Source organism: Homo sapiens, chromosome 9 (genome assembly GCF_000001405.40).
Source record: "Homo sapiens chromosome 9, GRCh38.p14 Primary Assembly".
Taxonomy (NCBI): Eukaryota; Metazoa; Chordata; class Mammalia; order Primates; family Hominidae; genus Homo; species Homo sapiens.
The window spans coordinates 130,935,336-130,958,846 of NC_000009.12; the positions used below are offsets into that span (position 1 = coordinate 130,935,336).

The 23,511-nt window shown below is 55.1% G+C and overlaps 1 protein-coding gene and 1 long non-coding RNA gene across 5 annotated transcripts in view, besides 7 other annotated features; one reads left to right on the plus strand and one right to left on the minus strand.

Moving 5' to 3' along the window:
- FIBCD1 (fibrinogen C domain containing 1) overlaps positions 1-5,374 on the minus strand; it is a 38,270-nt gene extending 32,896 nt beyond the window's left edge. The window contains exons 1-2 of one of the 4 annotated variants that reach the window (XM_047423989.1): positions 5,262-5,374; positions 3,201-3,313 (exon numbers count right to left, since the gene is read on the minus strand). In XM_047423989.1, coding sequence (XP_047279945.1) covers positions 3,201-3,272 — 72 coding nt within the window. In that variant the 5' untranslated portion in view covers positions 3,273-3,313; positions 5,262-5,374. Of the gene's footprint in view, positions 1-875; positions 2,881-3,200; positions 3,913-5,261 lie in introns of those variants that run through there. The other 3 variants (NM_001145106.2, NM_032843.5, XM_047423990.1) reach the window with 3 other exon arrangements.
- Positions 3,614-4,544: an enhancer, noted in NCBI's record as "H3K27ac-H3K4me1 hESC enhancer chr9:133814336-133815266 (GRCh37/hg19 assembly coordinates)". NCBI's record gives its function as "activates a minimal SCP1, AML or CMV promoter by ChIP-STARR-seq in naive H9 embryonic stem cells {active_cell/tissue: H9 hESC(naive)}" and the evidence as "EXISTENCE:reporter gene assay evidence [ECO:0000049][PMID:30033119]".
- Positions 3,789-3,998: a silencer, noted in NCBI's record as "silent region_20409". NCBI's record gives its function as "represses an Ori minimal core promoter by ATAC-STARR-seq in GM12878 lymphoblastoid cells {active_cell/tissue: GM12878}" and the evidence as "EXISTENCE:reporter gene assay evidence [ECO:0000049][PMID:35858748]".
- On the plus strand, positions 5,011-10,185 carry FIBCD1-AS1 (FIBCD1 antisense RNA 1). Its single transcript, XR_930398.3, has 3 exons — positions 5,011-5,107; positions 8,945-9,037; positions 9,888-10,185. It is a non-coding gene; the product is annotated as an FIBCD1 antisense RNA 1 (long non-coding RNA).
- Positions 5,767-6,061: a silencer, noted in NCBI's record as "tiled region #15615; HepG2 Repressive DNase unmatched - State 20:ReprD, and K562 Repressive DNase unmatched - State 25:Art". NCBI's record gives its function as "represses a minimal TATA promoter and a strong SV40 promoter by Sharpr-MPRA in HepG2 and K562 cells {active_cell/tissue: HepG2 | K562}" and the evidence as "EXISTENCE:reporter gene assay evidence [ECO:0000049][PMID:27701403]".
- Positions 5,767-6,209: a biological region, named in NCBI's record as "Sharpr-MPRA regulatory region 15615".
- Positions 5,990-6,209: an enhancer, noted in NCBI's record as "active region_29168". NCBI's record gives its function as "activates an Ori minimal core promoter by ATAC-STARR-seq in GM12878 lymphoblastoid cells {active_cell/tissue: GM12878}" and the evidence as "EXISTENCE:reporter gene assay evidence [ECO:0000049][PMID:35858748]".
- Positions 7,978-8,151: a silencer, noted in NCBI's record as "fragment chr9:133818700-133818873 (GRCh37/hg19 assembly coordinates)". NCBI's record gives its function as "represses an EF-1alpha promoter that drives an FKBP-Casp9 reporter gene in an ReSE screen in phorbol 12-myristate 13-acetate-treated (for megakaryocytic differentiation) K562 erythroleukemia cells {active_cell/tissue: K562(+PMA)}" and the evidence as "EXISTENCE:reporter gene assay evidence [ECO:0000049][PMID:32094911]".
- Positions 11,615-11,820: a silencer, noted in NCBI's record as "fragment chr9:133822337-133822542 (GRCh37/hg19 assembly coordinates)". NCBI's record gives its function as "represses an EF-1alpha promoter that drives an FKBP-Casp9 reporter gene in an ReSE screen in K562 erythroleukemia cells {active_cell/tissue: K562}" and the evidence as "EXISTENCE:reporter gene assay evidence [ECO:0000049][PMID:32094911]".

The window sequence follows — 23,511 nt, forward strand, 5'->3', positions numbered from 1 at the left end:
ACCAGAAGAATCATGTCTATTTCTAGATCCTTTCATCTGACAAACTCCAAACTCCTGGCAAATACCGTTTCACCCTGCCCCAAGGGCGTGAGAGGCTCCTCCTTCTGTAGGGAGAGGGAGGACGCATTAACAAAGTCCAAATCGGCAACTTGTCCAAGGTCGCCCGACAAAGAGTAGCTGAGGCTGGATAGGGCTGGGACAGATGGGGCCCAAGGCGTTTCCCAGAAATGGCTGCACTTGGACAAAGGTCCTTCAGGACCTCCGGACCTGGGCTATACCCACTCACAGCGGGTGATTTCGGTACCCTGAGAACCACACAGCCTGGACACTGCAGTCCCAACTGGGGCTGAGTGGGCTGAACCAAGAAAGGGCGGCCAGCCACCCCTTAGGCACTTGTCTGCTGTCCAAGAAGACCCAGGTTTGAGTCCCAGCTCCAGCTCTTAGTCTCAGTTTCCTCATCTGTCAAATGGGTTCATCACTCCTGCCACCAAGCTCCTAGGGTGGCTGTGACTAAGAAATGAATCTTAGTCGTGGCCTGTGACCTACTGGTGCTTGGAGTGCGGCGTCAGCGTTATGCTCCCAGAGGAAAATCCCCGTTAAAGAACCTCGGCCAGGCCCCGTTTGTAGGAACCAGATGTTCAGATGGCGTTTCCTGGGGGGCAGAGAGGAGACCGGGACACAGCCAGCCTGTGGAAGGGACAGGCTGCTGCGAGAGGCATCCTCCTCATGAGTACACAGTGCTTTGCAGTTTGCAAAACACACCAGTATGTCACGTGGCCCCCATAACAGCCCTTGTGAAATGAGGAGGAAGCGAAGATTGCTGTTCCCACTTTACAGATGGTGAAGCCCAGGCCCAGAGAGGAGGAGTAACTTACCCAGGGCCACACAGCATGTCAGTGGGTGAGACAAACCTGGCCACAAGGGAGGAGAGAAGGCTGGCCCAGGAGAGGGCAGGCCCAAGGGAACCAGGGCAAGCAGTGTTCTCTCTTTCTTCTGACAGTGGCCACAGGAAAGGCCTTGCCTCTTGTCTGAAGCTTCAAACAAGCCCAGAGCTGGCACAGGGAACAGCCTGTCTACATGCTGGGTCACCAAACGGGCGGGGAGGGGAAGCGGGTGCTTGCTATTGGCCCAGGCTCTTGGAGCAACAGCCCTCGAGCTTCCTCCAATGCCAAGGGGCAGACAGCTGGGCTGTGTGGGGGCTGAAAGCTGTGCCCCCAGGGAGCAGCAGAGGAAGGCGGGGCCCGGCCTGGAGGCCTTGAAGCCACATTTCAAACACATTCCCCAGAAGGCACCTCCCCTTGAGACAGACCAGTGCCTGCTGGCCGTCTCCTGAGGCTCTTCCTGGCCGAAGCGTCATGCAGTGCCATTCAGCAAACGCTCTCAATGCCTGACCTGAGCTGCCTGGAAAGAATGGAGCTTGGGCCCAGGGAGAGATGCAGAGATGGGCTCCAGAGGAGGGTGTGTCCAAAGGGATCTCCTGATGCAGGAGGGGCCCAGGACAAGGCAGCTGAGTGGCACAGGCTAAACACTACTAGAACTTAGAGACATAGCCACAGGGCATCAGGAAGTCTTCCTGGAGGAGGTGGCAGCATTTGAGCTTGATTTTGAGTATATGTAGGGTGTCCCTGAGTGAAGGGGTGTGTGTGTGTGTGTGTGTGTTTGTGTAAGGCTGGGGAAGCAAACAAGATGACACAGAAAAGATCTGGAAATGGAGCGGCGTGGTGTGGGGCCCAGGGTTGGCAAATAACAAACAGTCACTGCCTGTAAGGGACCAATGGGAAGGCACAGTATGCCAGGTTAGGGATGGCCTTGGAGGACAGGTCTAGAAGTTAAGACAGTTCTTGCTAAGGGGGAGAAGTCAGATCTCAGCAGGAGGGGACTTGTTATTTTGGGGTGGCTTAGGTGCAGACCTGACCTAAAAGAGGGGCGCGACCACCCCGGAGAAGCAGTGGGATAGGTGTGTGGTTAGACCAGAGTTTGAATCCCCACTCTCTTGCCAACGTGCTGTGTGACTTGGGCATGTTCCGAACCTCTCTGATCCCTGGTCTGTGATGTGGGAACGCACTGGCCCCCAGCCTGTTTGGAGAAGTGAGGTAGTGCCGATGAATGGGAAGGGGCTTTGCAAACCGCAGAGGGCTGGGCCCTTGTGCCACGGCAGTGTCACACCAGGAAGAATGAGCAGGTTGCAGCTCCTGAGAGGAAGGGACCACCAAGGGCTGCCCGTGCCGCCCCCTCCTGCAGCTGCAAGCACGAACTGTTCCTTCCCCAATGACATCTGTCTGGAAGAAATTTAAAATTTAAAATGGGCAGCCCTATTCTCTCCTCTCCTTGGTGAGCGAGCGGCCTCCTCGTTTTCGCCTGCCTGCCCCAGTCCCTTGGCAGCCCAGCCTGGGGCAGCCCTGGGGCTCCCCTCCGCCTTGGCTTCGGGACTCCAGCCCCCTTGCTGGCCAGCCCAGGTGTTCTGCCCTCACCCGCTTCCACCGCACAGCCCTGGGCACCCTCCAAGCCCCACCTCCACTGCCCCTGAAGAGGCAGCAGGAAGGGAGGAATGAGTCAGCCCTGGAGCACACAGACAAGGGTTCAAATCCCGACAGAGCTGCGTGGCCTCAGGCAGGAGCCAACCATCTCTGAGCCCTGCTTTCCTTGTCTTAAAGTCAGAAAATCACAATACCCAGCGTTCCTGCAGGAGATGAATCTTTATTGATCCCCTACTGTATGCAGGGCCCTGGCTAAAGGGAAGGATGCAGAGGAGATTCAGGGGGTCAGGTTCAGGACCAGGTGCCTGGCACAGGGTAGCGCCCAGAGTGGAGATTCTGTGGGTAGTTAAGATGCCCATTGTAGAGGTGAGGAAACGGAGACTCAGCAACGGGGCTGATTTGTCTGTGGACACACAGCGAACTGTAAGTCCCCGCCTCCCTCTGCACCCGCGTGCACCAGGGGGCTGCTGGGGGTGCGGGGACGCGGGAGACCTGGCCCGCAGCGCGCGTGGCTCCTGCAGGGGTGCCGCCCCCACCGAACCTCGAGTTCAAGCCTCGGCTCGGGGAGGAGGAGAGGAGGGTCCCCATCCCGGCCCGGGCCTCCGGAGCCTCGAAGGGGTGCGCCCCAAACTCCAGCCCCCGCAATGGGTGCTCGCCCCGCCGGCCCGAGCGGCCACCGCCTGGCCAGCCGCCCAGGCCCCGTGTCCCAGCGCCCGAGCGTACCTGCGGCTTGTCGCGCGGCCGGTCCTCAAGTTGGGCAGCGCCGCCCATGGTCTTCCACCGGTCGTTGACCATCTTCCGGCAGGACTGGCGGGGGCGCCGGGCGAGGCGCGCCGCTGCGGAGCGCAAAGGAGACGGGGTGGGCGCGGGCGCGGGCGCGGGGCGCGCTCTGTCCGCCGGGTCCCCGCCTCTGTGCCCCGCGCCGGGGCGGCCCGGGAGCGGGCGGGCGTGTGAGGATGAGCGCGCCGCTGTGTGCGGGCGGGAGCAGGAGCGGGAGCGCGAAAGCCGCCAGCCCAACGCCCGCCGCTCGCGCTGCGCGCCGTCCCCGCTCCCGGCTCCGGCGCCTCCCCGGCGCGCTCCTCTCTCTCCTCCCTCGTCCCTCCTCCCTCCTTCTCAATCTCCGCATCTTTTCTGGTCTCGGACTCTCTTTGCTTTTTATTGCTCCCCTCGGCCTCCCCCGACACACTCACACACACGCGCGCGCTCACACCCGCGGACTTGGATACTAAACTCCGCCTCCGAAAAGACCTAGGGAAAGGAGGCCGAACTGGCCCCCAGATAACGCGGCCGGCCGGAGGGCAGCAAACAGCCGCGGGCGGCCCGGCTCCTGCTGGCTCCCGGAGGGGCCTGAGAGCCCCCCGGCGGCGCCTCTGCACAAACTTCCTCCCGGACCGGACTCACACAAGTCACCATGCGCGGGGCGGGCCCCGAGGGCGCCCCCGCCGGCCGGTTCGGCGTCTCCGGGGAGTGGCGCGGCGCTCCTTCCGGCTCCCTCCCGGCTCAGGACGCAGGGCTCGCCCCAAGACCCAGGCTGCGCCGGGGGCAGTTTCGGTGGGGTGCGCCCCCTGCGGGCCCCCGAGGTCTGGGTCCAGGTCCCGGGGCAAGTGCGCCCAGCTGTGGGGTCTCCAGCCCCCGGGGACCTCCCTGCGCCGGACCCCGACGCGTGAGCCTGGCCGGTGGGCGTCCCAGTCCGCGTCCGCAGACCCGTGCCCTCGCGCCCGCGGTCGGAAAGCCCACACGACGCCCCCTTGCCCGGGCGGCCCGTGGGCGAAATGGGGGTCCCCACCACTGCCACAGCCGCCGGCGCTGTGGTCGCGAGTACCAGCCGCTCCGCGCTCGGCCGCGCTCCCGGCCGATCGCCCGCGCTCCCCGGCGCGCCCCGCGTGGTCCCAGCCCCCGCCTTCTCCTCCGCCGGGAGGGGATTTGTGCCAGGAGGGGGCTTCTTAGTTGCCCCTTCCCACCAGCAGCACTTTTAAAAGCATTTAATCCGCCCGGAGCGGCCTTCGGAGGTAATTGACAAAGTCCTTAATCTGCGCGGCGAACGAGCTGCTATTGTGGCTTCTGACCGGGAGGCGCCCACACTGCCCGACGCCGCGCTCCCCTCCCGCCGCCCCGCCGAGCCCGCCGGCCGCCCCTCCTCCGCCCCTTTCTGCGTCCCCATCTTTTTCTGCTCCCCCAGCTCCAGACAGACCCCCGTTCCCCGCCCCCGCTTCTCCCCAAAGCTGTTTTCCGGCTCCCGGGGCGCCTTGGCCGCCGCGCTGTTCCCTGGCACCGTCTCCGTCTCTCCCCCACTGGCTGCCAGTCTGTCGCCCCATCTTCGTCCCTCTCCCGATCCCTCTACGCGTCCGGCACTGGCGGGGCAGACTGGTTGGGGGTGGGGGCCGCGTCCAGCCTGGGCTGGGGCACTCCCTGGACCCCGGAGCGGGGGACCCTGTGGCCCGGTGCCATCCGAGGAGACTGCCACCCGCCAGGCGCTGGGTTCACAAACCACCGGCTGTTTGTCCCCAGCCGCCTTTTCCTTCCAGGACAACCGCTGGCCTCACCTACGGCCCGATCCCGGCTTCCCGGACTGAGGCTGCCCGGGAGTTGGAGAGGATCCCACAGCAATGGCTGGGAGTCAGGAGACCCAGGTTCCAATTCTGGCCTCTGGCCCTTTCTGGCCCCTCGGCCTTTCCTATGAATTAAGAGGGTCAGCAGGTGATCTAGAGGGCCCTCAGACTTGGGAAGAAGGATGTGGTGGAGGGCACAGGGCCCTGGCTGTGTGGCTGAGGGCAAGCAACATACCTCTCCGAGCCTCAGTTTCCCCATGTAAGCCAAAGGGTTGACTGCACACGCTTCAGAAGGGCTCTGCCACAGTGCATCACAGCACCTGAGCAGGGCAAGGCTCAGATGTTCCTGCTGTGACCTTGGGCAGATTCCACGTCATCCCCAAGCCTCAGTTTCCTCGTAAACAAGGACTTGCCTATTGGTGGGGAGTGGCGAGGTTTGCAGGCCCTTGTGCAGTTACAGGCACAAAGCGGGCAGGTGGCGGAAATGCAAGGCTCTGACTCCACAGTTTGGCGAGAGGATGTAAACTCCAGACGCATTTGTGCACAGATGAAAGATCACCCTGGGGGGTGGAGCGGGGGTGGGGGGCTGAACTGAGAACCCACGGGAGGGGTGCTAAGGACCAACGGAGGAGGTCTTGGAGATGTGCTCAGAGTAGTCAGGGAGGCATCCTGGGATGGAGGGGTGTGAGCCCGCCCCCAAGGCCCATGAAGGCAGCATCCAGAAGTCTGGGTGCTGAAGGAAAGGCATTTCCAATGGCGGGGCCGCAGAAGGGAAGGCGGAGCTAGGGGAGTGACCCGGGCGTACCTGGGCAGGTGCAAACCGGAGGACCGGAGGACGCTCTGGAGGATCGCCTCCCGGGCCTGCAGAAGCGCGGTTGGACAGGTGAGCGGGGGCCACCTAGCGGCTCCTGCTGGGAGTGTTGGAGGAGGTTGGAGGTTGAATCATCTCACCTGCTCAGCCACAGGTTCAGCCTGCGGGAGTGCCTTACGTGTGTGTCTTCGGGAGCGGGCCTCACTCTGTCACCCCCTCTGTGCTGACGCCTCTGCTCAACACCCCAGGAGAAGGGTCAGCCGTGATGCAGGACTGGCATGAGCCTGCAGGCGTCTGCTCAGCGCTTTACACACTGCACTCAGCAGACACACTTAGGACATCGTTCTGGAAGAAGGGAGGGCCGCCCCCATTCACTGGAGCCTCCGAATTGGTGGAGAGGAATAAAATGGAAGTGGATCCCAGAAGCCAGTGCTGACCCACAGCCAAGATCTGTGCGAGAGAAAGGGCAGCCGACCCCACAGAGCAGACAGGCCCTCCACCCTCGGATTTCCCTTTGACAAGGCTGATGACCACAGAGCACTGGGGGCGAGCTGGGCTGTGCTCAGCAGGTGGGACAGGACAGAATCAGGGCTTTCCAGCCAGCCCAAGACTGAGCATTCCTTGTCAGGGACGAGCCAGCACCTCAGGGTGCCAGAACACAGGACCGGGAGGCTGCATGGTATTAGACTCGAGGTTGCCTGGTAACTTGTTCACTCTCTGCGCATCCCCTCACCTTCCTCTTTCTGGCTCACCAATTCTGCCTGTTCCTACTTTGCCTTTCCAAGGCCACCTGGATATGATGGCCCCACCAATGGGCAACTCCTATCTAGGACTGAACCAGGCATATCAATCATAAGTGGCAGATGGCCAAAGACAGCTGTCCTTGGTCAGGTACCAACCCATCAGACCTTGGTCAGGTCCAATGTGGGGGCATGGCTGCTGGGGCCCTAATGCAGGACCCCTCCCTTAGCAGGGAGTGGGTGCAGGGCAGGCAGTACGGCGACATGGGAGGGGTGGAAAAATAGTCCATGGGGAGACAAGGAAGAGCAGCAAGGGACATAGGGGGACAACATTCAGGGTGCCAGCCGTGACCAACAGCCACCTGTTGGAAGCACCCTCACGCTCAGCGCTGTGCTGGGCACCTCATATCCTCCCAGCCCCCTAATAAGTGAATACTATTGTCCCCACTTTGTGGATGAGGAAACTGATTCAGAAAGGTAAATTACATGACCTGGGTAATTGTGTAATTAATAAGATGATACGATCAATATGGGGCCAGGCACAGTGGCTCACACCTGTAACTCCAGCACTTTGGGAGACCGAGGCAGGTAGATCATCTGAGATCAGGAGTTCGAGACCAGCTTGGCCAACATGGTGATACCCCATCCCTACTAAAAATACAAAATTAGCAGGTGTGGTGGTGCACTCCTGTAATCCCAGCTACTCCGGAGGCTGAGGCAGGAGAATCACTTAGAACCTGGGAGGCAGATGTTGCAGTGAGCCGAGATCGTGCCACTGCACTCCAGCCTTGGCGACAGAGTGAGACTGTCTCAAAAAAAAAAAATCAATATGGAATTACCATTTACCAAACATTTCCATGTGCTGGATACAGCAATACCATTAACAATACCATCTTATTTCAAGTAATCCTCACCCAAGACCTGTAAGTGTTATTAATAGCCTCATTTTCTAGATGAGGCAACAGAAGCTCAGAGAGGTTAAGTAACTCAATCAAGACCACACAGCCATTGGTGGGGCAGAATTTTTTTTTTTTTTTAACACGGAGTCTCGATCTGTCGCCAGGCTGGAGTGCAGTGACGCAATCTCGGCTCACTGGCTCTCTGCAACCTCTCGGGTTCAAGCGATTCTCCTGCCTCAGCCGCCCAAGTAGCTAGGACTACAGGCACACGCCACTACGCCCAGCTAATTTTTGTATTTTTAGTAGAGACAGGGTTTCACCATGTTGGCCAGGATGGTCTCGATCTCTTGACCTCATGAATTGCCCACCTCAGCCTCCCAAAGTGCTGGGATTATAGGCATGAGCCACTGCGCCTGGCCGGTGGGGCAGAATTTGAACCCTAGTGTGTGCACTTCCAGAGACTATCTCTCTTTCTTCAATACCTCGGTGCCTCTTCGTCTGCCAGAGCTGGGCCTGAGCCACCCGGTGAGCGTGCTGAGCCAGCATGCAGCAGGGCTTAGCGGACGTGGGCAGAATAGCCAATGTGCCAGTCTCTCGGGGCCTGGGGGACTGGCTGGCCAGAAGGTCGGGACCTCTGGTCCCCATCCACTCAGCCTCTGCCCCGCACTGCCAAGGGTACTCAGCTCTCGCCATAAAGCTGTTTCAACTTGACTCTGACAGTCACATTTATCATTAAAAATAAATGTATCTTGGCTTCTGTGGCGTGGAAAACTACTGTGCAGTGATTCAATGGGCTTGTCACCCCTCACGGTTAGGCACGGGGAGCTGAATGACTGGATGGTCTCCAACGCCAGCTCCTCATTTTCTGCGGCTGGAGCCAGAAATGTACAGTGGGCTGACATTTAATTTAGAATCCAACATACCTTGACATAAACCCATAATACAAAGGCGGGGGTGGGGGTGGGGGCTGCCAAGCCTGGTCGGGGTCGGGGGGGAGTCCAAGTGACAGGGCGAATTTCTTTCTTTCTTTCTTTTTATTTTGCTTTGTCAACATTGAGTGGTGATGACAGACGAGAGGCCGTGATCAAAGGCGAGAATTAGCACGGAGAGAATGTGTGTGAGTGTGTGTGTGTGTGTGTGTGCAGCCTGTGTGTCAATTCATGGGTGCATGGGTGGTGCGTCTGTGCCCTGAGCCCACTGGGATGCTGTGTGTGGCATCTTGCGATGTGTCCGAGGCTGGGCTGTCAAGACTGAGGCTAGAACCCCGGAGCAGGACAACGTGGTCACTCCGGGTGAGGACAGCACCTGCCAGTTCTGTCTTTGTGTCCCTAGCACTTACCGAAGGTCTTCTAACACAGTCAGTGCTCAATAAATGCAGAGCAGGAAGGGGAAACGTGATTTTAAAAGCTGGATGCAGAGTTCCTCTTAGGGAGAAAACTGGCTTTTTTTTTTTTTCTTTTTTCAGCAGAACATCCTGATGGACTATTTAGGTGTGAAAAGCAGAGGCTCAGGGGCTGACCTGGGAGGAGAAGCTGCAGGAAACCCAGCAAGAAATGCCCAGGTGGAGGGGTGGAGGGGTGGAGGGGTGGAAGGGTAGAGGGCTGGAGGGGTGGAGGGCTGGAGGGGTGGAAGAGTGGAGGGGTGGAGGGGTGGAGGGGTGGAAGGGTGGAAGGGTGGAGGGGTGGAAGGGTGGAGGGGTGGAAGGGTGGAGGGGTGGAAGGGTGGAGGGGTGGAGGGGTGGAGGGGTGGAGGGGTGGAAGGGTGGAGGGGTGGAAGGGTGGAGGGGTGGAGGGGAGAGAGCATGAGGTGGGGGGCAGAGTCCCCAGGCAGTTGGGATTCCGGGGAGGGACCACAGTGCTGGGAACCACAGCACTGACGCCATACACACCAGGGGATGTTTGCTCTTGCATGGAAAGTGATTTTCAGTGTCATGCTGCAGAATCCCATACGTTATCCTTCAGTCCTTGGTATAAAGTCCTCCCTGCTCAGTAGTCTTGTGTTGGTGATGGTTTGGGGAAATGAAAAGAGTGGGCCCTGCCCCACACCAAAGTCCAGGAAGGGAAGAAGGAGCTGTCCAGCACAGGTGGGGAGGGGAGAAGAGGGGTCCTATTGGGACCCAGAATTCAGACTGAGCAGGAAATCCAACCAGGGGTTGAGGAGGGATTACCTGAGCTTGTATCACTTCAACCTGCATTTTAGAGACACATTCTAATCTCACAGATGCAGAATTTGGGGATCCCTGGACAGCTAACACTTGGGGTGCAAATGTTTCTTGTTGAATGAGAGGAACTGGGTGTAGTAAATGAAATTCTTGCATGGAAGTCTGAATACAACTGGTGGCCGCATCCCGACCAACAGACAAGAGGACAAACTTTCAAAAATGCTGTGTCTTCTTCTCATCCTTCTTTTAGAGTCTGTCTACCAGAATTCCACCATCTGAAGTCCCCGGGGTGCAAATCCTGTTTGCTGTTAATTCTTCCAGCTCTCACGTATGGTGGCTTGTTGTGTCACGTGTTTTGCAATTTTGCATTGCGCGTTCCATCTTTGTCAGAGCTTTATCCGTGGGAATCGGTGTGTCTAGGCTGGGAGTCCGTCTCTCCCTGGGGGGTGAGCTTATACTTCCACGAGGCACCAGAAGACACTCCAAACCCAAGACTGCTTGAAGTTTAGTTCCCATCTTGCATGTAGAATAAATTCAGATCCAAAATATTCATGAGAACAGGCCTGTGGTTATTAATTTATGGGGGAAGTTTTTTCCTTGTCATCTTCCTAGTTTCCTTGTCATCTTCCTTTTTCTCCTGCAGAGAGAATTTTCCTACTCTGTCAGTTCACTGAGGGTGTGGCCCTGGCTTTATGTTGGGTCTGACTCCCTGCCTCCTTGGGGCCTAAGGCCTGTGTCCTGGGCCATGACACGCAAGGACATGGTGCCCATAACTGGTGATGCCCTGGGCCTCCATGGCTTCAGCCCCAGCTGCTCTGGGTTTCACGCTGCTCTTTGTTTCCTATTTGGCTGTACCTTGAAAAGGATCCAAGTTATTGTATCCAAGTTTTTGTTTGGGTGTCTGGTCTGCCATATTGTTGGAAGCAAAAGTCTCTTCTTCTCGAATGCCTACTTTTATTTTCTTTCTTAAAGTTTAAAGTCAAATTTACATATATTAAAATGGACACATCTTAAGGGTAACACTGGGGAGTTTTGACTACCATGCCATTCAAGACACAAAATGTGGCCAGGCGTGGTGACTAACACCTGGAATCCCAGCACTTTGGGAAGCCCAGACGAGAGGATTGCTTGAGCTCAGGAGTTTGAGACCAGCCTGGGCAACATGGTGAGAATCCGTCTGTACAAGAAACAGAAAAAATTAGCTGGGAGTGGTGGCGTGTGCCTGTGGTTCCAGCTACTGGGAAGACTGGTCCCTTGAGTCCAGGAGCTCGAGGCTGCAGCGAGCCATGATCATGCCACTGCCCTGCCCTCCAGCCTGGATGACAGAGAAAGAGCCTGCCTAAAAAAAAAAAAAAAAAAAAATGGCCGGATGCGGTGGCTCACGCCTGTAATCCCAGCACTTTGGGAGGCCGAGGCGAGTGGATCACGAGGTCAAGAGTTCAAGACCAGCTTGACCAATATGGTGAAACCCCGTCTCTACTTCTACTAAAAATTAGCCAGGCGCTGTGGCAGGTGCCTGTAATCCCAGCTACTCAGGAGGCTGAGGCATGGAGAATTAATTGCTTGAACCTGGGCGGCAGAGGTTGCAGTGAGCCGAGATCACGCCATTGCACTCCAGCCTGGATGACAGAGTGAGACTCTGTCTCAAAAAAAAAAGAGAATATTTCTGTCACCCTAGAAAGTTCCCATGCCCCTTTCCAGTAGCTTCCCCTGCAATCACTGTTCTGATTTCTATCTGCTTATTTTTGCCTTTTCTTACTTTATGTAAATGGAGCCCTGTGGGGCATATTCTTTTGGGTCTGGCTTCCTTCGCTCCTTCGCTCCCCAGGTGAGCAGTGGGTGCACCCATGTTGTGTGCATGTTGGCAGCTCACTCCTTTTTATTGCCCGTGTATTTCATCATATGGTTCTGCCACAATCTGCTTAACCATTTTCCTGTTGGTGGGCATTTGGCCTGCTTCCAGTTGGAGCTGTTGAGAACAGTGTTGCTGTGGACATTTGTACACATGTCCCTGCTGCACATACGTACACACTCTTTGGGTACATACCTAGGAATGGAATTGCTGAGTCATAGGGTGGGACTGTGTTTAACATTATCAGAAACTACAAAATTGCTTTACGATGTGGCTGTCCTATTTGACACCCCCGCTGGCAGCACTTGGGGTTCCAGGTGCCCGGTTTATCTTCCAGCATCCCTTTGAGTGTCACAGTGAGAGATGGTGGCTGTGGTGTGTTTGCCGGGTCCCCTTGTCACTCATTCGCTCAGTTCATTCATTCATTCATTCAGTCAGTCAGTCAGTCATTCCACAAACATCCACCCAGCACCTCCCCTGCAGCCCCACTCACCCTGTCTTGTCCTAATTCAGTCTGGGCTCTTGGGATGGGGGGCCGCCTCTCCCTGGGTGCAGCTCCTCCCTGGTAGGTATCCCCGCTTGGCACCACTCCTGCCAGAGGGTGCGTCTTAAAGCCGTGGTGGGGAGGGAAGGGCAGCTCAGCTGTCATCTGTGCCTCCGAGGATGTTGGCGTCTGAGTCAAACCTCAGAAACCTGCCAGTGGTATGCAAGGGCTGCCAATCACAGTTCTGTTTCCCAGTCACCCCTCCCACCTGCACAGCTGCAAGTACCCAGCACCCTCTAACATCAGCGACCAAACAGCCATGCCCTTATAAAAAAAATGGCCAAATTGCTTTCCGACATGGTCGTACTGCTTGACGCTCCTACTGGCAGAATACATTCAAACCCCAAAATCTTCATGGGAACTCGCCACTGGTTATTAATTTGCAGGAGAAATCTTCCCCTGTCATCTTCCTTTCCCCCAGGTAGAATTTCTCCCCATCTGCCCATTCCCTGAAGGCATGGCCCTGGCTTTATGTTGGCTTCCTAGAGCCCAAGGCTTTGGCTTTGGGGTTGGGGTTCTGGGTGCCTCACATCTCATACTCTGGGTCCCGCTTCGACGCCCCTGCCTGGAGAAGGAGGTGAAGCTGCATAGAGAGAACCTCGGTTAGAGCCCCACCTGTATTGCTCCTTGGTGGGAAGACCCCCGCCTGAGCCTCGGGGGGATTCACAGGGCCTGGTGTTCCTGAGCGGTGCCCCCAACGGAACCCAGGTTTCCTTGTAGACCTACCAGAAAGCTCCCCCGACCACCCATGTGCCCAGGGAGACTCTCATTCTCTCGCCTCTTCCCCCACCTCCCACATCCCATCCACCAGCATGTTCTTTCAACAAATATTTATTGAGCGCTACCATGTGTAGTTTAATTCTAATGAACAAATAAGACACATTCAATGGTGATAAGAAAACAAACAGGGTGCTGTCATACACAATGGCTGGGGAAGAGGCTGTGAGGAGGTGGCATTTGAAGGACCACATGGGAGGTGCTGGAGGTGCTGAGGGAGTGGCAGGTGCAAAAGCCCTGCTCAGGAACAAGGCTGGTGTGTGTTAAGATGTGAAAAGAGGCCTTGTGTTTGGAGCAGTGAAAGGTGGGAGGAGCAATGAGACTGGAGAGAGAATGAGCGATGGAAGGTGCACACCGGTGATGAGTTTGGATATCACATGGTTACAATAGAAAACCACCGGAAGGGCTGGTCGCGGTGTAATCCCAGCACTGTGGGAAGCCGACGGGGGTGGATCACCTGAGGTCAGGAATTTGAGATCAGCCTGATCAGAATGGTGAAACCCCGTCTCTACTAAAAATACAAAAATTAGCCAGGCGTAGTAGCAGGCACCTGTAATCCCAGCTACTTGGGAGGCTGAGACAGGAGAATTGCTTGAACCAGGGAGGTGGAGGTTGCAGTGAGCTGAGATGGCACCATTGCACTCCAGCCTGGGCAATGGAGCGAGACTCCATCTAAAAAAAAAAAGAAAAAAACCACTGGAAGATTGCAGGTGGGGAGAAAGGGGCATGCCATGAGCTGGTGGACATTTTTGCAAGCTCATTCTAGCTGCTGTGTCGAGGATGGGCTCTGAGGGGCTCTGGGGTGGTGGGGACGAGTGAGGGAGTCAGGCCAGCTGTCCTGGCAGGAGATGAAGGCAGTTCAGACTGGGGCATTGGCAGTGGATTCAGTGAGACGTGGACAGACGTGGGACAAGTTTTGGAGATGGCGCCGGGAGGCCTGACTGATGGAGTAGATGAGGAGTAAGGTAGCAGGACGGAGCCGAGAGCCGGGGCCCACGACGCAAGTGGGTGGTGGTGCCACTCACTGAGATAGGGAGACCTGGAGGAGAAACGGGCTGTGATCAGGAGTTTTGTTCTGGCTGTGTTAAGTTTGAGCTGCCTATTAGACCTCCAGGAAGGGCATGGAGTGGGCGTCAAATATACAAGTCCAGAGTCCAGAGAGATCCAGGCTGGAGTCATCAACTCTGAGTCATCAACACCTGCAATTGCTTGAGGTGGGTGATGGCTCTGGAGAGACATTGACTCTTGAAGGGGCTGCAGGTGGGCGATGGGCTGCAGGTGGGTGATGGGCTGCAGGTGGGTGATGGGCTGCAGGTAGGCGATGGGTTCTAGGGAGTCATTGACTCTAGAAGGGGCTGCAGGTGGGCAATGAGCTGCAGGTGGGCGATGGGCTACAGGTGGGTGATGGGCTCTGGGGAGTCATTGACTCTAGAAGAGACTGCAGGTGTGCTATGGGTTCTAGGGAGTCATTGACTCTAGAAGGGGCTGCAGGTGAGTGATGGCTCTCTGGGTGATGGAAACCTTGCTCCTAAGTCCTCCCTCACTGTTAGAGAATTACACGGCCACACCCTTTGCCTGGTGCCTCCACTGTGTCTCCTACCCCATCGACCTTGGACTTGGCTGTGTGACTTACCTTGGCCTTAAGAGGCACACTCTGTAGTTCCCTCATGGCCATGAGAACATTTCCTGGGAAGCCACTGGTCCCAGAATGCTGATAGACGTTTGACACAGGCCTGAACCTGGCAGAGCTATAAGCCAGGAAAATAAATGCTGTTTCTGTAAGCCACTGAATATTGGGAGTGGTTGTTACACAGCATAGCACAGACAAAGCTGACTGATACACAAGCAAAGGCAAGGTCCTGTCTTCCCTCCCAGGGCAGTGACAGGAGGAAATAAGATTGTGCACCCCAGGGCTTGGCCAGCACACAGCAGGTGTTGAGCAAACATTCGTTTTACTACCATGCAGTTCACTGTGGACCTAAAGCAGAGACACTCCCTAAGTGTTTTCCTCATGGTAGCCCCTGCCACATGCCATCTGTATTTCTTTTAAATTTCACATTTGTATTCCAGTTATAAAAATCACCTATTATCACTCTGCCCAGAGATAAGCCTGGTTACAATTTTGGGGTGCTTCCTTCTAGTCTGTTTTCTTTTCTTCTTCTTCTTTCTTTTCTTTCTTTTTTTTTTTCTTTTTGAGACAGGGTCTTGCTCTGTTGCCCAGGCTGTAGTGCAGTGCATGGCTCACTGCAGCCTCTACCTCCTGGGCTCAAGTGATCCTCTGATCCTCCTGCCTCAGCCTCCTAAGTAGCAAGGACTACAGGTGCACACCAGCTAATTTATTTCATTTTTTGTAGAGACAGGGTTTTGCTATGTTGCCAGGCTGGTCTGGGCAACTCCTGGGCTCAAGATATCCTTGCACCTCGGCCTCCCAAAGTGCTGGGATTATAGGTGTGAGCCACTTCACCCAGCTTCTGTTTTCTTAGTAATTGCCAGAGACTCATAAATATTGGGCCAGCAGCAGCAACTTCTTGGGAATCTATTTGTCTATACTGATGTGCAACATGGACAGGGAGAAGGATCTTCATGATGTTTCTGTGGCAGGCACTTAGGGTTGGGATGGGAAAACAACAGCAGCGTTTATTCAACATTCACCATGTACCAGTGCAGCTCGCAGCATTGGATCTCCATCCACGTGGCCATTCAGTGCTCAACCTTCCAGAAGGTGCCAAGACCTGCAATTGCACCTTCTCCCCACAAGGGTAGCCCTCAGCCAATGGCAGATGGAGGTTGGAAGAGTCAGAGGATAAATACCCCAGCTCCCTCGCCCTTTGGGAGGGCATGTTCTACATGTTTCCCAGAGTTCCCTTGGGGTCTCCAGCCCCAGTGCCCAGTGCTGCAACTAACACACAGCACACACAGTTACAGATGCCTTCCTCTCCCTGTCTCCCCCTCCACTCCCCTTCCAGCGCTTCCTGGGTCACCTCCAAAGAAGCCACTGCTATTTACATCTCTGCTTTGGCAAAAGCCACCATAAGGCAACTGGGTGCTGTGTGTGTGGGCTTGATGTGTCCCTCCCATTTTCTCTCACAACCGTTCAGCAAATCCTCCTTTAACCTCTGTTCTTGCAGCACCTACTGCTGCTATGTGACAATGACTGAGGTAGGGGTGAGTGTCTGTGCCCCACTGACCCTGTCTTGCCCAGACTGAGGTTATATGATAGATCCCACATGATTGTGAGAATTTCCCTCACGTTCTTCAAAATCCAAAAACTCAAGCCAGGCATGGTGGCTTACACCTGTAATCCCAACACTTTGGGAGGCCGAGGCAGGAGGATTGCTTGAGCCCAAGAGTTCAAGACCAGCCTGGGCAACATAATGAGATCCTGTCTCTAAAAAAAAATTAAAAAATAAGCCAGGCATGCTGGTGCATGGCTGTAGTCTCAGCTACTTGGGAGGCTGAGGTAGGAGGATCCCTTGAGTCCAGGAATTCAAGGTGGTAGTGAGCTATGATTGTACCACTGCACCCCAAAACAAAACAGAACAAAACAAATTTAAAAATTCAAGCTGGGCAAGGTGGCTCACACCTGTAATCTAACACTTTGGGAAGCCGAGGTAGGAGCATCGCTTGAGTCCAGGAGCTTGAGACCAACCTGGGCAACATAACAAGATCCCATTTCTACAAAAAATTAAAAAAAAAAATTAGCCAGGTGTAGTTGTGCGTGCCTGTGGCCCCAGCTACTCAGGAGGCTGAGGTGGGAGGATCACTTGAGCCCAGAAGGTCAAGGCTGCAGTAAGCCATGATCACGCCACTGCACTGTCTCAAAAAATAAAAATTAAAAAATCATAAATAAATAAATAAATGAAACTCCCAAACTCACTTTTAAACATAAGCCTATTTGACAGTGATATTAGCTCATATGTAGAGAGGATGTTCTTTGTACCAGCAGCTGAGCTGGGTATGCAACATGTGCCAACTCATCCAATCCTGACAGTGACTCTTTATCTCCATACACAGGTGAGGAAACTGAGCACGGAGTGGCCACAAGGCTGAAGACAAAGATCTATACCCGGGTCATCTAACTCCAGAGGGGGTGGGGGAGGCACATGGTGTTTGTAAACCTCCCTTATTTCTGAACACTTATTTCTATTTTCTAGTTGTTGTAAACAGTGCATAGTGAACAGCCTTGCCCTCAGTTGCAGTTTGCCTGGCTAATTACTTCCTTAGGGTGGATTCCCAGGAAAAGAATTACAGGGTCAAAGAGCGGGACTGTCTTTAAGACTCCAACCCTGTTGCCCAGCTCTGGCCTTGCTTTCCAGTCTCCCATCTTCTTTCCCACACTGTCTTAAGTCAATAGGAAGCGTACAGCCTTGGCCTCCCTCCACCCTGCCCACATCTGCCTGTCTGTACCCCTGAGGACGTGGGGGTGACCTCCATCCAAGCACCCTGGGTCCTGTTCTGTGTCCCAGCAGGGAGAGTCTTCATGTGGGGGCTGCAGGTGCCCCTGGCACACTGTAGGGGCTTGGTTGTGATTGAAGGAATGAATCAATGAATGAATGAGATTCCTGGCCTGCTTGGCTCCACTTTCCATTGCAAAGCGACCACCTGTGAAGCAGCCTTCTCAGTCTAGAGTCCAGAGGGCAGCCCTGAAGCTGAGAGGGTGGCTCCTCACTGCAGGTGTCAGAAGCGGGGAAGGGATGCAGACCCCAACCGCTCAGTCTGTACCCAAAGCCTATTTGATCCTGATGAAAGCTTCTCTTGCTGAAACAAGTGCTCCAGCCAGGATACCTTTGCTTAAGCCAGGCTCCCTGCCTGGAAGCCTCCCAGCTTGGATTTTCTAGTCTGAACAAGAAGGAGAACAAAAATACTGTGTTGGATATCCATTGCTGCATAACAAATTACCCCAAAATGGAGCAGCTCAAAACATGCAAGGCTTGGGAATTCAGGAGCAGCTTAGTTGGGTGGGTCCTGTTTAGGGCCCCTCAATAAGTTGCAGTCATTATGTCGGCTGGGGCTGCATCATCTGATGCCTTGACTGGGGCTGGAGGATCTACTTCCAAGATGGCACCGTCACATGGCTGTTTGGCTGGTGGCCTCGATTTCCTGCCCCCTGGACTTCACCATAGGGTGGCTTGAGTGTCCTCACAACATGGCAACTTTGTTTTTTTTTTTTTTTGAGATGGAGTCTTGCTCTGTCACCCAGGCTGGAGTGCAGTGGCGCAATCTCGGCTCACTGTGAGCTCTGCCTCGTGGGTTCACACCATTCTCCTGCCTCAGCTTCCCGAGTAGCTGGGACTACAGGCGCCCGTCACCATGCCCAGCTAATTTTTTGTATTTTTAGTAGAGACGGGGTTTCACTGCGTTAGCCAGGATGGTCTTGATCTCCTGACCTCGTGATCCACCTCAGCCTGCCAAAGTGCTGGGATTACAGGTATGAGCCACCGCGCCTTGCCAGCAACTTGGTTTTAAGGACACTTAGCTTCACAGATTGCCAACCAGAGCAGGCGATCCAAGAGAGAGAGCAAGGTGGAAGCCACAATCTTTATAACCTACTCTCAAAAGTCACACTCCATCATTTCCACCACATTCTGTTGATTAGAAGTGAGTCCCTACATACCATCCACACTCAAGAGCAGGGGAACGAGGCTTGTCCTAAGAGAGGAGTGGGTAGTTTTTTGTTTGTTTGTTTGTTTGTTTGTTTGTTTGAAACTGAGTCTGACTCCGTCATCCAGGTTGGAGTGCAGTGGTGCTATCTCAGCTCACTGCAGCCTCCACCCCTGGATTGAATCGATTCTCCTGCCTCAGCCTCCTGAGTAGCTGGGATTACAGGAGTGCACCACCACGCCCGGCTCATGTTTGTGTTTTTAGTAGAGACAGGGTTTCACCACATTGGCCAGGCTGGTCTCAAACTCCTGACCTCAAGTGATCTGGCTGCCTTGGCCTCCCAAAGTGCTGGGATTATAGGTGTGAGCCACCACACCCAGCCAGAGTGGGTAGTTTTTAAAACCACCACAATTGCCCGCCAGGGGCACAAAGAGGACTCATGGGGATGGGTCTGATAAGTGCTGAGCCCAGTGCTGGGCACCTGCAGGCACTCAGTAGGTGGTGGACACTTGTTTTATTATGATTATCCAGCACCTAGCACCCAGTCTACCCCAAATAGCACCATCAACATATCTTCCTGAATCCTGCCTCCCTCATTTCAGCCTTTGCTCTCAGGCAGCCAGGGGTTCCCCATTTTCAACAAGAAAAAGCCCAAACCCTTTTGCTTGGCAGTCAACCCCACCCCATCCAAACCAATCCCTCCTTTCTCTGCTGAATGTTTCCCCTGTGCCAGCCACTTCCTTCCCACCACCACACCCTTAGCCAGGCTATCACCCACCAAGAATCCTGCCCCATCTTGAGCCTCTGCCTTCATTTGAAGCCTATCATCCCCTGTGCCTCAGTATTTTCCTTCAGCTCTAGATTCTTGCAGTGCTCTAGCCATTTACACAGCCATCAAATTCCAGGCCTCTTCTGTCACTCACCGGTTCACCTCTGTCATCTTGTCTCCTGCCCAAGACTGCATCTCCTCTTGTCCCTTCTCTGAGAGGCCTGTGGTTGAGCACAGGGATGAATGAGAAAGAAACCCAGCCTGTCCTCAAGAAGTTGACAATGTGTCCCTCAAAGACTGGGCTCATTGCTGCTACCTCTGGGAGTCCCAATGTGGAGGAGAGCTCTCAGTGGGTGTGCAGAAAATCTTGTCAGAAGTTACTGTCCCTGGGCAGGGCTAATACCACCAGTATCACCATTATCATCATCACCACTATCGTCATCATCACCACCATCACCATCATTACCACCATCATCACCATCAATATCGACACCATCCTCATCATCATCATCACCACCATCATCAGCATCATCAGCAGCAGCAGCACCACCATTACCATCATTATCCCTACCATCTTCATCACCACCATCACCATCACCATCACCATCATCATCACCATCATCACCATCACCATCACCATCATCATCATCACCACCATCACCATCATCATCAGCAGCAGCACCACCACCACTATTACCATCATTATCCCTACCATCTTCATCACCACCATCACCATCACCATCACCATCATCATCACCATCATCACCACCATCATCACCATCATCATCATCAGCACCATCACCATGATCATCGTCACCATCTTTATCCCCACCATCCTCATCACCATCATCACTACCATCAGCACCATCACCATCATCACCATTACCACCATTATCACCACCATCATCATCACCAACACCATCCTCAGCACTACCACCACCATCACATTCTCATTCATCCCTGTGCTCAACCACAGGCCTCTCAGAGAAGGGACAAGAGGAGATGCAGTCTTGGGCAGGAGACCACTTTTGGGGGCAAAAGCAGCTCCTGAAACCACACCCCAAAGCAGGCTCCACTCCATTCCATCAGACCCTGCAGTCAGGAAGGGCCGTGGGGTGTCCTGGCCTTCATCTGTGAGAACTGCCTTACCCATGCTGATTTCCACCCACATGGCATCAGAGGACTCCGTGCCCTGACACTACAATCCTTGTCCCCTTGTGTAGCCACCTCAGGGTCCAGCACCAACTGTCCTGTCTACCTGGAGCATAACACCATGAGGTCCCCAGCTCCTGGCTCTCCCCTGGGGGCTTGCCATGACCCGTTGGCCTGAGCTTTGGGGTGTCAGAAGCCCCCATGGAATGCACTGCTAAGACAAGCCCATCCTGCCAGCCTTCCTACCTCTCATAGCTGACCCTGCTGGGTTCTATGTTACAAATTCCCCTGCCCCAGCACCACTCTGTGACCTGCAGTGAGCGCAGCTGTCACTCCCCTCAAGGGTGCCCAGGCAATAGGGAGATGTGAGGACTGTGGGGGCATAAGAGTTGTCTCAGGGCTGTGCAGAGGAAGCCAGGGCCCCCCTAAATATCTCCAGCTCATCGCACCAGCTCCATTCTGCCCGGAGCCCCATGTCTGAGCCCTCAGCTCAGAGCAGACAACCGTGCTAATCCTGTCCCAGGCTGGTGGCCGCCCCCACTGAGGAGGGGGAGCAAGCTGCCCAGAAAGCTGGTGTGGAGTGCCCGTTAGCTGTGGATGGCATCGTGGTGCCACCGGGAGATTATCCACACGCAGCTAGTTCCCAGCAGCCGACCCCAGTGCCCCAAAAGAAGGCAGCTAGCTATTAAGGAGATTCATGGGCAGGGGTGAGGCGAGGAGGAAGGCTAATCAAGCTGTCCTGATTGTAATTGTCCGAAGGTGCTGGCCTCTCTCGTAAACATGCCAACTGCAGGCCCTGCTTCTGCGTCTCAGCAGGACTTCTCCCTGCTGGGACCGTGCTGGGGAATGTTCTTTCAACATAACTCTATTTAAATTCACATTTCCATCATCCCCCAGAGGAGCCGAGAGAGCTGAGCTGCGTGGTATAAGCCGGGAAAGGATTAGATGGGGTGGGTGTTATTTTTTTTCCTTTTATTTTCCCTTAGTGATGGAGATGGGGTTGTGGGGGGTGGGCCATTCTAGAATTCTGCAGTATTGGAACTGGAAGAGCTGTTACAAACCATCCAGCTCAACCCTCTGGATGTCCAGACGGGAAACTGAGGCCCCCGGGGGCCATCGGGATGCCCAGCAGAGCCCCCTTCCCGGATTCCTTCCCCCAACGAGACCCTGGGGCGGATGTCAAGGAAAGGCCTGGAGGTTGGGGGGACACTCTGGGGCCCTTGGAGGCCTGGAAACCGGACTGTATTCCTGCGTTAGTTGGCAGGTGGCGCAACTTTCCTCCAAGTCAAAGTGCCAGGCCAGCTGAGGCCCCCCAGAGCCTCAGCCCCCTTCCCTGCTGCTCTGCCGAGCCCCTGCCATGAGTCTGAGTCACCTTTCTCCAGAGCCACATGTTCTCTGTAGGAAGCCCCCAGGGACTGGCAAAGGCCCTGGCCTCTCAGGAGAGGAGGGGGCAGGTGAGCTGGGCAGTGGGATCGCATGGCCAGGAGTATGGCTTCCGGCCCCCCCGAGCCTAGGTGGAGGGTGGGGTGAGGGGCTGCGGCATAGACTGCGGCTGAGACCCAGGGAAGCAGGACCCTTGTCACCTGGGACTGGGCCCGGAGGGTGGGGAAGCCTAAGGCAGCAGACGGGAGGCAGCAGATGCGAGGAAGCAGCTGCTCTGGGGATGGAACTCCTAGCCTTTTGAGTGCCAGAAATGTTCAAATAAGCATCTGGTTTTGTTTTTTGAAATTTCTCGCATTATCAGCCGTTTGGGTGCTGTGGAGGGAGCTGAAGCCCGGCCCAGATTTTCCACCCCCACCGGAAGGCCTTGCCACCATGGTGACAGCAGGTGGGAGTGGGGTCACCTCTTCTTCTGAGCAGCCAGGCAAAGCCCTATGGGGCCAGGTCCCGGTGGAATAGCCATGGCTCAGTCCCTCGCCAGCATGAGCTCAGGAACGCTGCATCCCCTCCTGTCACCTAGACTGGTAGGAGGGGGGTTTGGTGTGGTCTCCAACTAGACCCTAACTGGATCCAACTGGATCTCCAACTGGAGCCTCTCCTCCAGGGTGACAGGCATTCCATCCTGGGCAGGGGTAGCCTCCTCCATGGATGCGAAGGCTCTGGGCTGTCACACCACGTCCAGCATGAGTCTTTCCTGCACTCCATGGACCCAAATTTTCCCATGTGCAGGCCCTGTAGTGAGCCCTGATCACAGTTCAGAGAGGTTGAGATATTCAACTAAGCTTGCACAGCCTGGAGATGTCCTTATTACCGTCTTGTGGTGCCCACTGGGTCCAGTCTGCCGCTCTGATGGCCCCCATGGAGGTGAGTGGGCAGCACCTCGGCTGAGTGTCAGGTGTCCTGGGTTCTTAGCTAGTCACCCCCTCAACCGCTCTCAGTGACCTCCATCAAGTCACGTCCCCTCTCCAGCCTTAGTTTCCCTGTCTTCTAATAAAGCCTGCCCCTCAGAGCCCTTGCAGAGGTCAAAGAAGACAACAGCTTGAAGTTATTTTGCAAAAGGCTTAGTGAGGAGTCACAGACTCATGATGCTGACAGGGCAGGCGGGTGCAAGGCAGCCCAGGGGATTGGGAAGGACAGAGGCGGGAGGCACTGAGTTTCTTTGGCCGGCCTGCCACTTTGTGTCCCTGCAGAAAGGGCCAGATATGAGAGGTTAGAATGGTGCAGTGTAGGCAGGCAGACGTGGATTCTTGTCCCAGTCTTGCCATTTATTCACTGACCTTGGGCAAGTGACTTTAACTCTCTAAATCTCGGTTTCTTCATTTGTAAATGAGGATGATAATAGTAACGCAATAAGGCAAATCTCCTTAGGTGGCCACAAAGGTGCAATGAGATTAGGCACATCAACTCCACAATACAGGTATGGCACCTGCAGTGGCTCAATAAATGTTCACTGCTGTTGTTATTATCATCACCGCTATCATCACCACCACTACCATCACCACCAGCACCACCACCATCACCATCACCACCTCCAACACCACCACCACCACCACCACCATCACCACCATCACCACCACTGTCATCACCATCACCACCACCACCGCCATCACCACCACCACCACCACCGCCATCACCACCACCACCGCCATCACCATCACCACCACCACCACCACCACCACCATCACCATCACCATCACCAGAACCACCACCATCACCATCACCACAACCACCACCATCAC